The 17,158-nt window shown below is 34.6% G+C and overlaps 1 long non-coding RNA gene across 1 annotated transcript in view; it reads right to left on the reverse strand.

Annotated features, from left to right (window-relative positions):
* Positions 1-9,533: 9,533 nt before the first annotated feature.
* The window catches only part of LOC105373831 (uncharacterized), a 279,396-nt gene continuing 271,771 nt past the window's right edge, over positions 9,534-17,158 (reverse strand). Inside the window, exons 3-4 of the long non-coding RNA XR_923759.3 lie at positions 10,376-11,812; positions 9,534-9,945 (exon numbers count right to left, since the gene is read on the reverse strand). This is a non-coding gene — a long non-coding RNA (uncharacterized LOC105373831). The remainder of the gene's footprint in view (positions 9,946-10,375; positions 11,813-17,158) is intronic.

The raw sequence follows: 17,158 nt of genomic DNA on the forward strand, positions 1-17,158 counted from the left end.
TTATTTGAAGCCCTCTTTTACTATTTCCTTTAGTGCTGATAATGTGGATACCATCACATTTGATCTCCTGAGCAAGGTAGCCTTACCTTACTTTTCTGTGGGGTTATGGAGCCCTTCAGAAATTTGAGAACCTTTTCTATAAAGGATTGTTTGAGCAATATATGTCCAGATACATTTTTTCCCTTGTACACATTCAACCTTGCCAAGTATCATTTCAAGAACTGAATGTTTAGTTTTTTTACAACTGCCATAATCTTGCTGGGAAGGTCACCTTCTGTGAAAGCTGAATAGATATGATTTCTTCAAGAAAAAAATTAAGGTGAGTTATAAAATCGTAATTTTAAAGGAGATGTACATGTTACAGAAGTCACATAAAGCAATTTGTAAGCAAGAAGTTCTAAAGGCTGTCAGGATATGTTGATTCAGAAGTTTCAGGGATTAATTGACCACCAGGAACTTTCATGAATCTAGCAGTGGATCTCCAAAGTGATAAATGCTAGCATTGAAGTGTTAACTTAGTTATATTGGAGCATACAGCAGAAAGAGACTAATTCCAACTGACTTCACATAATCATCTTTTGCCTGATTATATGAAGCTATTGACTATTATAGAAGTGGGAAATCTGTTCTTAGCCACAATTTGTCTTTAGCAGCCAAGTATACTTTCTCTAATCCTAACCAGCCAAATCTTAGGAAACAAGTTGCAGAAGCCATGTGGGTTAGACTCCTGGCAAATAGCACCTGCACCAGGTTACTCCAACAGCCATCTAGGTGACAGAACCACCTCGGGGCCAGTTATAAAGATGATTGTGTTCTCTCCAGCTGCTATTCTAGTTTGCTATTCTGCCTTCCATAAAGCCTTCCTTCTATTGTTTGTATTTTTGTAACTATGGAATATATAATTTCAAAAGATTTCTCTTATGTTCCTCATTTATACTCTTTAATACATCAAGGCACATTATGCAGGCCTTTCAACGTTATTCAAGAATGTTAAGCTTACTGTTAAGCTTACTGCTATCTAAATAGTCTTTTTGTGATATTGATATTTTCAATGTTAACTGATATTTCATTGTAATGATTAATAAATATTCTTTCAAATTTAAAGGGGACTTTTCAAAGTAAAGTGCTTTCTATATTTATTGTAAGAAATACTTCAAAAGCCCAGTTCTTGAGGAAGACTAAAAGGTACTATATGCAATTTCTTAATCTCTTCTTTGGGCATTCTATAAGTTGGGGTAGTCTAATTGCTTCAACATGTACCAAATCTCAATTAATTAGGATCATGCAATTTTATCTCTTGCTCGTAAGATAGTTTAACGTAAGTTTTTTGGGGGCAGCCTTTTATATATTGATTTAGGAATTCAGCTTCTTTCTAATCTTTGGTGCTACTATCCTTTAGAGTCTCATAGGCCTCTGCCAATTCTTTTACCCCCAGCAAACAAATGGGTGAAGAGACAGAGTGTGTGATCCTATGGGAGGATATTTATGGACCAAGCCTACAAGAGAGGCTTATCACTTCCACCCACGTTCAATTGGCCCAAACTCGGACTTAACATCTTCACCTACTTATAAGGGAGGCTGGGAAATGTATAGTTGTATTCCCAGAATAAAGGAAAACAGAAAAACTAGATATATTCTACTATAGGCACTCATCTTGGATTTGTAAACTGCTTATATTTTTGATATTGAACATCTTTCATTAAATTTTGCTTTCATATTATAGTATCTTTATATTGCAGTATGAGCTTCAAATGAAATAACTTCACAATTCAACCTTTGTAAATATTTTAATGACAGCCCTCTTACCTAGTAAAACGTGTATATTCTCAACTTCTGATAAGAATGAGAACTTTTCTTTCAAAGGATAATGGGCTTTCCTTATGTGTAAGTAGTTGTGTTAATCTTGGGGCAGACTGTGAACTTACTGATTTTTTTTTTTTTTTTTGACAAGTCTCTCTTCTGCGTCTTTCTAAGGGGTTCACAATTTGCTGAACTTCCTGCCTGAAGCAGGTGCCCATTGTCTTAGCATTCTCTCCTGCTTATCTAAGGAACTTCATTCTGGGCTTTCATGCTTGCCCCACCTATTAATGGATATTGACATGAATGGGTATTTACTCCTCTTTGTGTTTTAACATTGGCTTTCTGGAGTTATAATTTCTTAAGCTGTTACCCCTAGTGCCTCCCAAAAAGCACTGATTGCCATGAAATGTTAATAAGTGTTTCTTTTACACAGATGCACAAAAACATACATACATAGACACGCATATGTGCATAAAATTACATATATTCTATGACCCACTAAATTTGGTAACCACTGATGTAAACTAAATTAAACAGATTTCTCTTTTAAAATATTTCTTAAAGCTCATATTATGTCAATGTATGTTTTGACTCTCCAAGAGTTACAAGAATTACAAATAATATGTGGTGTTTCTCAAATTTATTTGAGCCTGAAAACTTTCTTTTTAACACCAAGGCACTAGTCTACAGAAAAACACTGGGAAATACTGCCTGACTCCATGGGAATTGTCCTTATATCAAATATATAGATGCTGCAAAAGACTTGTGCGAGTGAGAATTGGGGCACAAAGCATTTTGTTAAAAAAAGCCCATCTGCAATGGGATATTTATTCTTTTTTTTCTGCTCAGAATAAATTACTTCATTTGAAGCAAGCTTTGTTCCCAGTGACATTATAGTCAAGGAATATGTTATTGTGATCTACAAATTTAATTTCTATTAAGAAAAAATTATAGATATTTTTGTGAATTGTATAAGCAACAGTTACTTAATGCTTCCAAGAGGAACCAAGAAACTCTGACTCTTCTTATATTGTCCACATCTCCTTGGGAGATAAAAAAGATGCACATTTTATTTTTATGGTGAAGGGAGATACTAGTGTACTTGAAGAAGAAGCTTTTTTCTCTAAAGAAGGAACTCTAATGACTAGTTGGGAAGGGAACAAACTGTTGGTATTCGTTTGAATCTAAGCAACAAAGTTTTGGTGGAGGACTTCAAATCATATGCTATTTGTAACCAAAATTATGGGAAATGACATTAAAAATATTTTCTGACCTACAGTGTAATTTTAAGTCCCAATCTTGTTTGTTATATATCTTTAATTTGGATGGAATTATTTAAATTATTAATTCTCTGCCCAATTTTTTTATATATTAAATTACTGCAAATAAAATTTTCTTGTTCTTTGGTCAGCAAGCAGCGTTTTCAGTATTAGGAAACTAATCAAATGCAATTCGACCTGGAAAAAAAATATTGAATTAGAAACATTTTATTTTTTCTTTGTGAAAATGTTGAGAACTTTCTCTTTAATGTACTTTCCCAAATCTTATCTGGCAGGAGATTATATATATTTGAATAAAGATGAACATTCAAAGATTTTTTTAAACCACATACTGTAATTTCACCAGTGGACTAAACAGAGTCTATTGGAGAAAACTTACCCTGGGGCTTTAGATCTTGCATCCCATCTTAACAAGAGACTAAACAGTGAAAACCACTCCTTTGTTAATCATTGGGCAGAAAGGAGGATAAATGATAAACAGTGACAAAGTATAATTGTGTCTGTTTCTTGGACATCAATTGATACCATGCCAGCCAAACTGAGGCATTTTAAAATGACATGCTTGTCGACATCAAAGAGTCTAGGCAAAGGTTAAATATCTATGTGATAGGGATATCTTTAGCTTTGTATTGGCCACTGAAACTTCCCTTTAGTTACCAGAAGAGGAAACATTGCTGACTTACTCACTTAGTTAACATGGCAGATAGGTACATACAAATAGCATGTATAATAAAAATCCATACCATTAGTGGTTTTACTTACATGTTTCTCACAAATGCTAATACTCTATTTTAAATGTCTAGGCAATTGATTTTTTTATAGATAACTTCTTGACTAGTTATCAAAGTCCTGTCAGCCAATATGTGACTATAGAAGAGCAAGGATGGCTAAAGAAAATAATAAAGCATTAAATTACATGAACTCATTGGAAATGTGTAAGAAACCATTATGTTATTATAGTTCATCATTAGCCAGATTTGGTCATTGGATATCAGATTTCCTTCTTATCTAGTCTTTGATTATATTAGATCTTTTCTTTCAGAAATTTTATTTTGAGGATTCATAATTTCACATCTTCATAAGAAAATAAGGAACTTTATTCTGATCTATTCTGACTTATAATTTGGAACTAATTCCTCTAAAAATGAGACAATCCATAAATCGTAGTAGAAAGACAACTTTCATCTTTTAAAAAATAGAATGTTGCAAAAGTAGCTAATGAGATATTAGTAGGTATAAAAAATATTTTTTTTCCTAAAAATCAGCAATCACACTGCTTGAAAACAGATTATGATATAACTTTATGTGGAAATCCTGGAGATATCAGAACATGCACAACATTTAATTAAAATATTTTATTGACGTGTTAAATGTATACATACATACAAGCGAGTGATTCATAAGTATACTGCTCAATAATAAACACAAAGTGAACACACTAGTATAACCCCCACTCAGATCAAAATGCAGAGTATCACTAGCACCTTTGAAGTATCTGTCTTCCCGTCTAGGACTATTTCTCCAGGAAACCACTCTCTTGATTTTTTTTATTTTTTAAATTTTTTAAAAAAATTTAAATTTTTATTATTTTTATTTTTTATTTTATTTTATTTTTTTTGAGACAGAGTCTCGCTCTGTCACCTAGGCTGGAGTGCAGTGGTGTGATCTTGGCTCACTGCAACCTCCGTCTCCTGGGCTCAAGCGATTCTCCTGCCTCAGCCTCCCTAATAGCTAGGATTACAGGTGCCCACCATTACTCCTAAGTAATTTTTGGAATTTTTAATAGAGACTGACTGTGTTGGCCAGGCTGGTCTTGAACTCCTGACCTCAAGTGAATCTGCCTGCCTCAGCCTCCTAAAGTGCTGGGATTACAGGTGTGAGCCACTGTGCCTGGCCCACTCTCTTGATTTCTAATACCATGTATAAGTCCATCTTCATAATTAAGTAAACAATGTCATACATTATCCATCATTTTCTCTTTTATTTCTTTCATTCAACGGTGTATTTGTCAGGACTGGCGTGGTGGCACACGCCTGTAATCCCAGCACTTTGGGAGGCTGACGTGAGTGGATCACCTGAGGTTAGGAGTTCAAGACCAGCTCATGAAACCCTGTCTCTACTAAATACAAAAAATTAACCAGGTGTGGTGGCGCATGCCTGTAATCCCAGTTACTTGGGAGGCTGAGACAGGAGAATCATGTGAACTCGGGAGGCCTAGGTTGCAGTCAGCCAAGATTGCACCATTGCACTCCAGCCTGGGCAACAAGAGTGAAACCCCATCTCAAAACAAACAACAAACAAATGAACAAACAAACAGTGTATTTGTGGGTTTCATTCCTATTAGTGCATGTAGCTTTAATCTACTCATTTTAATACACTTTTAAAATTTTATAACAGTTTTATGTTTATGGAGAGTTATAAAGATAGTACAGAGATTTCTTATATACACAGTACCTAGTTCCCTCATTATCATCCTACATTATGATATATTTGTCACTATTAGTGAACCAATATTTTCCCATTATTAACTACAACCTATCATTATTCTTATTTCCATAGTTTTATCTAATGTCCCTTTTCTGTTCTAGGACCCCATCCAAAGTTTCATATTATGTTCAGTCATCATGTATTCCTAGGCTTCTCCTGTCTGTGACAGTTTCTCAGACTTTCCTTGTTTTTGATGATCTTGACATTTTTGCAGAGTAATGGTCAGGTATTTTGTTGAATACTACTCTATAGGGAATTGTCTGATGTTTTTCTCATGCTGAGATTGGGGTTATGGATTTTTGGGAGGAAGACCACAGAAGAAAATTTTCATTCTCATCACATCATACCAAGTGTACATACTCTCAAAATGACCTATCACTGTTGATATTAATTTTGATCACCTGGCTGAGGTAGCATTTGCCAGGTTTCTACACTGTGAAGTTTTTCTTCCCCTCCCCTCCTTTCAATACAGTACTCTTTGGAGAGAAGTCAGTAGGTACAGTCAATATTTAAGGAGTAGGGAGTTATCCACCTCCTTGAGGGTAAAATATCTTCATAAATTTTTTGGAATTCTTCTGTATGAGAACTTTGTCTATTCTCCCTCATTTATTGAATTGATTCAATTATTCATGTCAGCATGAAGCCAATAATATTTGTTTTATACTTTGAATTATAATCCAGTGCTACTTTATTTTTTACTGAAATTGTTCCATCTTTGGTACATTAAAGGCCTTTTCAATTGGCTTCTATGCCCCTTTGACATATCACCATTGATGTGTGTGTGTGTGTGTGTGTGTGTATGTGTTTGAGAACTTCTTTATTTTTGGCACTACAAGATGCTTCAGGCTCATCGTGTATATTTCTTGCCTTAATCTTAGAATCAGCCATTTCTCCTGGGAGCCCTGGTTTATTTTATTGGAGAATGGCATTAGATCTGGGTGTTGGGTGTGCCCATTGCTATTGGGGTATCTTTGCTTTTAGACCTCGTTAATTGATAGATTAAGGAATATATGTGTGCGTGTGAACCGTGTATAAGCAAAAAACCATAAGTATGCCTATATGTAATGATCTTTATGTATATGAAGCTAAACATGGGTTCATACTGATTTCTCCAACTCTAATCCATTACAACATGGGTCATTCTAACCTTCTCATCTTGCTTGTCTACAACCTTCTACTCCGAAAGTAAGAAACCTGGCTTCCACCATTCATCATTCAATTCCTTAATTGTTCAATTCCTGTATGCCTATGTAGTGGTTTGAGAAATATTAACCCATATCCTCAATTGGAAACAATTTCTTCAAGTAGAGCATGGTGCTTACATGCATTGTAGATAGTGGCTACCACTTACACCAAGATTCTAACAGCATTTTTACTTTCTATACATCAAAAAGCTTTGTAAATAAAATCTTAACATTTTGGGTTTTTTAAAAATGCTTTTCTTTTCAATGAATTTTTTTTAATGTTAGGACATTTTATGGAGTAAGTGCCAAAAAAGTATTTTTAAGAATTTAAGTGAAATAAACATGCTATTCTTTGGCTTTAAATAAATAAATAAGAGTCATATAGACTCCACTTACTTTCCCCAGCACCATGTCATTGGTTGTTTCATATATTTCTAATGTAATTAGATTCTTTTATCACAGTTTGTATTCCATCATGGGTTACTCTGACATCCTAAATGATTTTTTTTTTAAATTGGCATGGATTAAGGTTCAATTTTTTTTTGGGTTGTAAATTCTGTGGATTTTGACAAATACACAGTGTCAAGTATCCACCATTATAGTGTCATACATAATAGTTATACCACTGTAAAAACAACCCGTGTGCTTCACCTATTCAATCTTCCCACTGACTCACCTCCCCACACTGAGCCCTGGAAACCAATGATCTGAGTATACTCTGCATAGTTTTGCTTTTCCCACATTTCATATTAATGGCAAAATAGAGTATACTGCCTTTTAAGAGTGGTTTCTTTCCTGTACCTATATGCATTTGTGATTCACCCATGTCTTTGCCTGACTTGCTAGCTCGTTCTTCTTGATGAGTAGCATACCATTGTATAAGCATGCCACAGTTTATTCATCTCCAAGGTTGATTTTTAACTTTGTCCTACCCACCAACATTTATGGAGTGGCTATTCTAAGCCCAGTGTTGTTTTAGTTATTACAGGGAACACAGAAGAAGAATAAAGACTCTACTCTCAAGGTAAATATAATCTTATTAAAAAACAAGGATTACTATAGGAAAAAAATTAAATATGTGAGGCAATAGGTGAAAAATAGTCAGATGAGGTACATTCACTAATGTAACAAATGCCAGTAGAAAGAGAGAAAATACTATGACCTGGAATGCTCTGGGAAGAATTAATACAGAAAAATTACCTTAAAAATAAGTGTATAGAAATTCACCTTAAAACAAATTGAGATACCACTATGTACCCACTAGAATGGCTAATATTAAAAAAGAAGACTGATAACACCAAATATTGGCAAGGATTTAGAGCAACTGGAACTTTTATATGTTGTTAGTAGGAATGTAAAATGGTAAAACACTTTGGAAAATATATCTGGCAGTTTCTTATAAAACATATACTTATAAAATATGTAGTTATCTTTTGAGCTAGCAGTTCTACCCTTATGTATTTGCCAAAGAGAGATGAAAAAATGTATCCACTGAAACCCCTGTATAAAATGTTCATAAAGCTTTATTCATAATAGCACCAAACTCTAAACTGCCCAGTTGTTCATCAATAGGAGAAAATATGAAAAAAACTGTAGTATATTCATACAATGGACAATTATTTAGCACTAAAATGGAAGCACTACTGATATATGCAGTAATATAGATGAATATCAAAATTGTTAGTTTGAATACTTACAAAATATAACACATACAGTATATTTCATTTACATGAAGTTCTAAAAGAGGTGAAGCTAACATTCAGTGGAAGAAATTTGAATGATGGTTGCTTTGAGCCTAGGGATAGTGAATCACTGGAAACAGACATAAGGGAACTGCCTGAGGTTACAGTAATGTTCTTTATCATTATAAAAATTTAGTTTCACAAATGTATGCATTTGTCAAATGGTACACTTAAAATTTGTGCATTTCATTTTATATAAATTTAACTTCAAAAAAAGTACTGTAAAAATATTAAACTCTGGGATAAATGCAAAAGTATTTTGGTGGGAGTGTACTGATGCTTGAAACTTTGCAAAGCATTAAAGTAATATGCATTGATAGATGGATAGAAGTATAAACAGATGCATGAACATGTGATAAAACAAGTATATCAAGTTTTAATCAGAGAATCTAGTGATGCATATATGAATATTTGCTGCAAAATTTTTTGAAATTTACTCTATGTTTTAAAATTTACATTAAAAACGTTCGGAAAAAATCAAGAATCTAACCAGCTTTGTACTACCTCCTCTGCTACCCCTGGGCTATGCCACAGTCATCTCTTTCCTGGAATGCTGCATTGATTTTGCCGCTTGTGTCCCTACTTCTGCCCCTGCCCTTCTGCAATCCAGTCTCATCACAGCAGCCAGATTCTTTTGGGAATGTGAGATGATGTTAAACCAACTCCTAACAATGATCTACAAAGGCCTGTGTGGTCTTCTCTTCCTGTCAACTCCCTGATCTCCTCTTCTCATACTTTTCCACAATACAGCTCCTCTAACCAAACCTTCCGTAATGTTCCTCCAGCAGGCTAGACATGCTCTCACCTTGGAACTGTTTCTGCTTGAGATGCTCTTTGTTCACATATCTTCATTTAGATTCTTCAATTCTTTGCCCATATCTTGCCTTCTCAATGAGGTTTACTCTGATCACTCTATTCAATAAAACAAACTGTAACCTGATCACAGTATTTCCAATTCCCTTTATTCTGTTCATTGTTTTATTTTTTCCATGGCACTTATAACTTTCTAGCATATGATGTAATTTATTATTATAATATTATTCCTCTGTTAGAATGTAAAGTATACTACAGTGGCATCTTTATCTCACTGACGTAGGTAGCCAAGTACCTAGAAGAGTGTCTGATACGTAGCAGACTCTAAATAATATTTGTTTAAAAATGTAGTAATGAATAAAGTTGGACTTGAAAGACAGAAAATCTTTTTCTATTTTTTGGAAAGGAGAACTACTTTTCTTAAAGCAACAAATGTTTATTGCAGAAAAATTATATCAAGGAAGGCAAAAACAAAGCAAAACAAAAACTTCATAAGCAAACCAAGCAGCTGCTATCTTTGCTGATAACTTGATGTATATTTGTTTCCTGTAATCCCAGCATCTTGGGAGGCTCAGGCAGGAGGATCATTTGAGGTCAGGAGTTTGAGGTCAGCCTGGGCAACATAGGGAGACCCTGTTGCTACAAAAAATGTAATAAATAAATAATAAATAAAATAAAATGTGATGTTTATTATACATACAAATTGTTGATAGCATATATTTTTGCAGAACTATTTCTATATGAATATATGTATTAAAATTATATTACTTGCTTTTTTCTTAATACCATGCTTTATTTAGCATATTTCTGCAATAATAAACTTAAGCAGCATCATTTTAACGAGTTTGTTACCTTATCTTCTGTTGGTCATTTAGATATTTCCAGTTTTGCAGTACTCAAAATATTTTGATGAGCATCCATATAGCTTAATCTTTGGACACATCTTTAATACTTTTTTAAGATAAATTCCAGAAAATGGAGTCACTCTATCTGAGGATAAACATTCTAAGGCTCTTAATAGGTATTATCAAATTTTCTCCTCATAAGGTCTATAAAAGCTTATGCTTACCAGTTTACCAGTAGTGTAGGGGCTTTCCCTTTCCATGGAAAGACAGTAGGATTTGGATATGTGAAGAAATAAAGGAGGGTATCCTACTGACATGAGTATCACATGCAAAAGCCAGTAGACAGGAAAGGCCGTGCCATGCTCTGGGAACAAGAATCTCTGCCTGGCCCACAGGGCACCTTCACCATGGGAGACTATCCAAGTCAGCTAGGGCTGCCAGAACAAAATACCACAGACTGGGTGGCTGAAAAAACAGAGATTGATTGTTTCACAGTTCGAAGACTAGAAGTCCATGATCATAGTGTCATTAGGTTTGGTTCCTCTTGGGGCATCTCTCCTTGGCTCGCAGATGACGGCTTCTTCCTGTGTCTTCACATGGCCCTTCCTCCGTATGTGCACATCCTGGTGTCTTTTGTTCTTATGTCTAGCAATACTAGACATACTGAATTAGGGCCTCAACCATTTGGCCTTATTATAACTTAATAACCTTTATGAAGACCTATGACAATTCAACCCATAACAGAGAACCTGGGAGAAAGCATCCAGAGGGTCTCAAAAGCTTCTCTTCAGTCCAGAACTGAGCTGATTCATAAATGGGGAGTTTTGACCAATATTTTGATGTATCCGGATCAGTTGGATCTGAGTGCAGCCCATTGAGCACATTTCCAGTTTTGCCTCACCAACCTTTAATTACAGCCTCTAATACTTAGTTCTTACTGTAATTCAGTAGGAAAAAAATACAGCTTTAGCAGAAGCCTGCCAAAACCAACATATCTGAAATTGGGCCCCCTGAAAAATAAGTACTATTAAGAGCAGCATTGTTCCTTTAGGAAAATGGGGAACAGCTTTGCACACAGTTGGTCCGTTTGAGGCTGGGTTACCACCCAGAGAAATTTCTATGACACGTTCATGTTCCTTAGGTTCTTCTTTTTCTCCTTTTTTGACGTTTTTTGGGCAGATATTTCTCTAATCAGAAGACATTCAAGTCTGGGAGGATAAAAATCTCTCTTGACAATCTTGAGAAAAAGAAAAAGTCAATTGGTTCCTTCAGGAAGTGAAAGGATTTATTTGGGGCCTTGGAGAAGGAGAATTATGAAAATTATTCATGATTTTTATACCTTCACGAGTCTCATTGTTTTATGGCCAGAGTCCATAAAACAATGAGACTCATGACATCTTTTTGGATGTTCTCAGATTCAATTTCTATTCTATGCCTTTGTATCCTGCCTTAAGCCAGGTATGTGGGAGTTGCAATATCTTATACTTCAACTGATTAAATATTAACTTGATGCTTTATGCAATGCATCTCAGAATTGCCCATCCTCAGAGAAGAAAAAAATATTTATACATTGGTCCTTCTCTTTTATTGGTCATAAAGGTGCTCCATGGACTTTCGAGCTGCAAACAGGTGTCAAAGGTTCTCAAGGCACCAGTGAAACCCTAGAGAAACAAGCAAGATGCATCTGGTCAGGTGCTGTCAGGTTAGATCTAAGTAAAAGGAGTCAAAGCAGATATATAATTGATCATCACAGGAGCAGGTGGGATAAGAATGTTGATCCCAAGAACATTTGAAGTAATGCACAGGAGTCCAATAAAACAGGTTAATTATTGAAAGCAAAATAATTATTAGATAGTAAATTATATGAGAAAAATGCAAAACACTGTGATAAAAGTTATCTTTGACTACTCCATTACCGTCAATAATATTTAACGTTTCTTTTGCTTACAACCCACCAGAAAACATATTTCAGCCCCAGGGTGCATGCTGTGAATGGGGTGCTTGAGCATATGTTTCCCTAGAAAATTCAACTTGTTTCCCATTGAAGCCATGGACTCCAATATGAGTTTGAGTACTTTTAGAATATGCACTCCCCACCCCCTAAGCACCCCTCCCTGCCAAATCTGATTAACATTTCCCAGATGGGAAGTGTGCCTGGAGTATTTGCAGGTTAAAAATGAGTTTTTTTAGGTTAAATGAACTTTATGTTATTGGAGCAACTTTTAAATTCAGCAAGTGACAAGGAATTAGCCAAGTGATAGTGTTCTTAAAATAGCCCAATTATAATGAAAAATGTAAAGCACTTTTTATTAGAGGATAAAAGTGTAAACAGTTCATTTCCTGAAAGGCAAGCGAATATTATAACAAATTTTATTGAATGTTTAAGTTCAAGTTTCAGTTATTGTCATGTTGGTGTATTTAATGCCTAACTGTTAATTATGAAATTATTGCAAGTTAGGAAAATATTAAATACTTCCTTACTTCACACAATACTATCTCCATACTTCCAACATCACTTGCTGAACTTTTTTCAACTTTCTAAGATAATTTTTCTAAGATAATTTTTAGCCCACTTTTAATATAGACTTTTCCCCCAAGAACCAGAAAGAACTGAACTTCTTCCCTAAGCTGGTTGTGGTGTTAGAGCAAATGAAAACCAGTTTTCAGTGTTTATATGGTCAGCTTCTCTCATTTACTCCCATAACCCTTAAGCATTAACCAGAAGTCTTGAAATATACTTGTCCCAGTTTTCAGCAGTATTAATTTTATAGAAGATGGAAGAATATCTGTACTTTTCCAATACTCTTGGAAATACTCTTCTGAACGTTTGTTTCCTCGAAGGTGGGTTGTAGATTAATATCTAACTATCTATCAATCATGAAAAGATAGTGAATTTTAAACCAAAATCATTTAGACCTGATTAAATTAAGAATGTATGTTTGGAAAAGTATGGAATTAAAACTAGAACAATTTAATTAATTTATTGTCTAATATAATGTAAATAATTTTTAATTAGTAACTAAAAGATTCTTGCATCTTATTATTTATAAAACTTGTTCAACATTAGAAACTGGACATCTAAGCTTCTTGTAAATGTTAATATACTCAAAGACCTTTGCTATGTTCACTTCTCATTTGAGTTTATAGGAAAGATTATTATTAAAACTAATATTTTTCTTGGAAAATGAGTACCGTTATTGCCATTTGATAACTGGTTTCTACACACTGCATTATCAGTATAATTTCTCATAACACTCTTCAGCATATCACAGCTTTGAATCAAGCTTGGAGAACACTGGTGTAATATCAGTTTCAAATTAACAAATTATGTGATGGAGCAAAGTTTCAAAGAGACCTATTAGAATTTAAAAGTAATTTATTTTTTAAAAGTTCTTTAGGAATGCTAGATTTTCAAAAAAAATTGTGTGTATTGTTTTAAGGCACAAATATTTTTATAACTGTTCTTGAGGCATGAGTTTAAAATATGTAAAGAGAAACTAGATGAGATTTATTTTGTAAATTTATGGTCTAAGGAATAATTTTTAAAAATACGTTTTTCTAGAGTAAAATTTGTAAGCTCGGCATGGTGGCACATGCCTGTCGTCCTAGCTACTGAGAGGCTGAGGCAAAAGGATTGCTTAAACCCAGATGTTCCAGTCCAGACTAGACAACATAGCAAGACCTTGTCTTAAAAAAAAAAATTACATAAAAGAAGCTACAAGAAAAGGTTTTTTATTTCTTCTTGACCCTATACACTTTGGCTTGCTTACCAGAACTTTGCTAAGCATTTTAAAAACTGTTAAGAATTTTTGAGGGAAGGAGTAATGGGGATGAGATTTATCCTCCTGGATTAAACAACTGAAAAGACCCAGACAAAATCTGTGAAAAAAGTGGATTTAGATGGTGGAAAGCAAGCAACTCCGGAGAGTGAGCCCTCAGATAAGCTGTCCTCAGTTTCTCACTGCATTAGAAGCGCAGCAATCCAAGGAGGAGAAACCCCCCAAATTTCAGTGTTTTCTGTAAGTTGAGGAGACAGAGTTTAAAATGCATACAGTGGCTAGACTTTGGGCAGTGTACTGGAGAGAAGAGAGCTGCACAGAGAAAGATTGAAATCTGGAGTGAAGTTTTGAGCTGAATATTGTTCATGCTTCACATGCATGTGAGGAAATTACACGAGGCGTGGAAAAGACCCACCAGAAGGGATCAGGCAGAGCCCACACGTGGCTGGGAATCAAAACCAGAGAAAGACATTATAAGTTTAAAAAATTATAGGGTAATATCCTTCATAAACCTAGATGCAAAATATTAAATTCCACAATATATAAAAAGAATAATAGATAATGACCAAGTAGGGTTTATCCCAGAAATACAAGGCTGGGTTAACATTTATAAATCAATCAATGCAATTCACTATACTAAAAGAATAAAAGAGAAAAATCATAAGATCATTTCAATTGATGCAGGAGACTCTTTTGAGAGAATTTAATATTCTCTCAGATAATATTTCTCAGTAAACTAGGAATAGGAGGGAATTTCCTCAATCTGATAAACAGGATCTACAATAGTTATACATGATCAGATTAAAACCTGTCTGTCACTATTTGGAACAAGGCAAGAAAGTGTGTTTTCACCATTTCCATTCACCATTATAGTGAAGGTCCTTGCTGGTGCTGTAAGACAATTAAAAGAAATAGAAGGCATTCAGATGCAGAGTATCAACATTCTTAAAGAAATGAGCATAAGGATAGCAAGTACTTTTGTTTAATGAAACCCTAATTTGTTTCTAGTGGAAGATGAATGCAGTTTTCCTTTTTATTTTTGCATGTTTAAATTTCCTCTTCCTCATTAGATAAAATAAAGAGATAAATGAACTTCATAGTGGTACTTTGCCAAATCAACCTTTTTTTTCCTTCTACCAGTGAATGCTTTTGAAAGGCTGATGTCAAATAATAGCTATGTTATACAGCCTGTTTCATAAAGCCTGTTAATATTGATCAAATAAGTATTTTCATATTCTTATATGGCAGTTAGCCTACCAATTTTTTGGCTAGCTCTATAATATCTAGTATATTCTTATAGACATAATAACTGCCAGGAAAATGTTTGGCCAGACCTCATTCAAGTAAGGGAAAGGATATTCATGATTATGTGACATGTATATTTAGAATATAATATTTCAAGTTAGATTTGGCAAGAAAACAGTCATGCACTAAAACATGTGAGATATCTTGAATCCTTTTGGAAAAACCCTCAAAGGAAAATAATTTAAGAGCTACTAACATTTCTCTTAGCTCTGACTTCTCAATAAACTTTTGGTACAACATTTGCATTTTACTTGACTGGCTTCCTTTCTACATGAACTTTCATTAAACATTCTTCGCTTTCCAAGTGTTCTTTGTCATTAAAAAAAACTGGGTGATTTACATTTTCAGATGAATTTATATACACTGAACAAAGATTATTTTATATATTATGATGTTGGGGACATTTCTCCCAATTATGTAAAAATAGTATGAGACACATGATGGATAGCAATGTTCATGGAGATGCATGTATAATTAGAACCTCATAATAAATACCATTTCTTGTGTTTGTTGACTACAATTAGCAACTTAAGCCATCAATTGTACTGCAGCTCTGCTCTACAATCTTCTTCAAGCTACATACATACAGCCAAAATTGAAAAGTGACTTTGCAATCTGACACATCACTTACTGCTTGGGATAACATCTCCCTAGTCAAATTCAAAGTAATTCTTTGTATAGTATACTGGGGCTACAAAATAAAAATAAAAATCCAGCTGGTTTGATTTCAGTTGTTTTGACTCCCTCTCACTATATCAAAACCAATTCCAGTTGGTCTTAGTTAATAAAAATGGTACCAAAATTTATGGAAATTAGGATTGAATATAGGATCATTAAAGTGTTGGTGACTGTTGCAAACATTAGAGATTGTAAACTTGGTAGGCAGTGTTCAAAAAAGCCTTCTGGTATGGAGATTGAAAGAGAAAGAGATCAAGCCCATTTATCTCTTCTCTGTATTGTATGTTTCTGGAGACAGAGCTTTAGTTCCAGTAACATTACTCAAGAATATGCCTGGGGCGTCTATTCTTCTGTGAGTCTCTGCCAAAACAGCTTGGGAAACAGCTGGTGATAATTCTGGCTTCTTTCCCCCGCTCAACAACTGATGTTCAGGAGCAGGAAGGCAATCGGGTGGGTGTGTTCTGAGCCATGCCATCGCTGCTTCCCCTCAGCTGCTCCTACTCCCACGCAAAAAGGAGCGGACTGGAAGGCTGACTTCCCAGAAGTGGCCTCAAAGGGAGGACAGTCAGTCCTATAGCTTTAGGTACTGGGGGGAAAAAATGAATGGTTTTGCCATGTAAAAGTCCAGGGGCAGGATTAGAAAAGACCACGTCCTTCTAATATCTGAAGAGGAACCTTTATTTAAGATACACTGTTAAGCATTCTAGTCTTTTAAAATGAAACAATGGGATAAGTATGGAAATTGCTGATTTACCACCTACAGATAAATTCTCTCAATTAACAGAGTTTTTATTAATTATTTTAAATGAGTTACCCTTTTCTTAATCCTGGGCCCTGCTTACCAAGAAGTTCAAAGGTAGTGGTGGTTTTAGATAAAGATATTGTTGCCTATTTTCCCTTTTAATAGTCTAATGAGGAGGAGGTTTTGCCTCTCCAACTGGAATTTTTGAGACATGAATTCTAGTCTCAGCTTTACCAATATCTAATGTGACTGTGAACAAATAACTTATATTTTCAGTTTCATTTTATTTCTGCAACATGAGAGAATCAGGTTAAAATAGATTCCATGTGCAGTCCCTTGAGCTGACATCAGTACACTGTAATCATAATGCTGAATCAGTGTAGGATGACTTTAATCCCTCTTTTACTTGATAGCCTTTCCCACATTTGAAGACTGCACCTGTGCTCATCCTATATATTTCCCCTTTTAAGCCCATATTCTCTCTTCTTTTTTCTCATGACTCA

Source organism: Homo sapiens, chromosome 2, assembly GCF_000001405.40.
Source record: "Homo sapiens chromosome 2, GRCh38.p14 Primary Assembly".
Taxonomy (NCBI): Eukaryota; Metazoa; Chordata; class Mammalia; order Primates; family Hominidae; genus Homo; species Homo sapiens.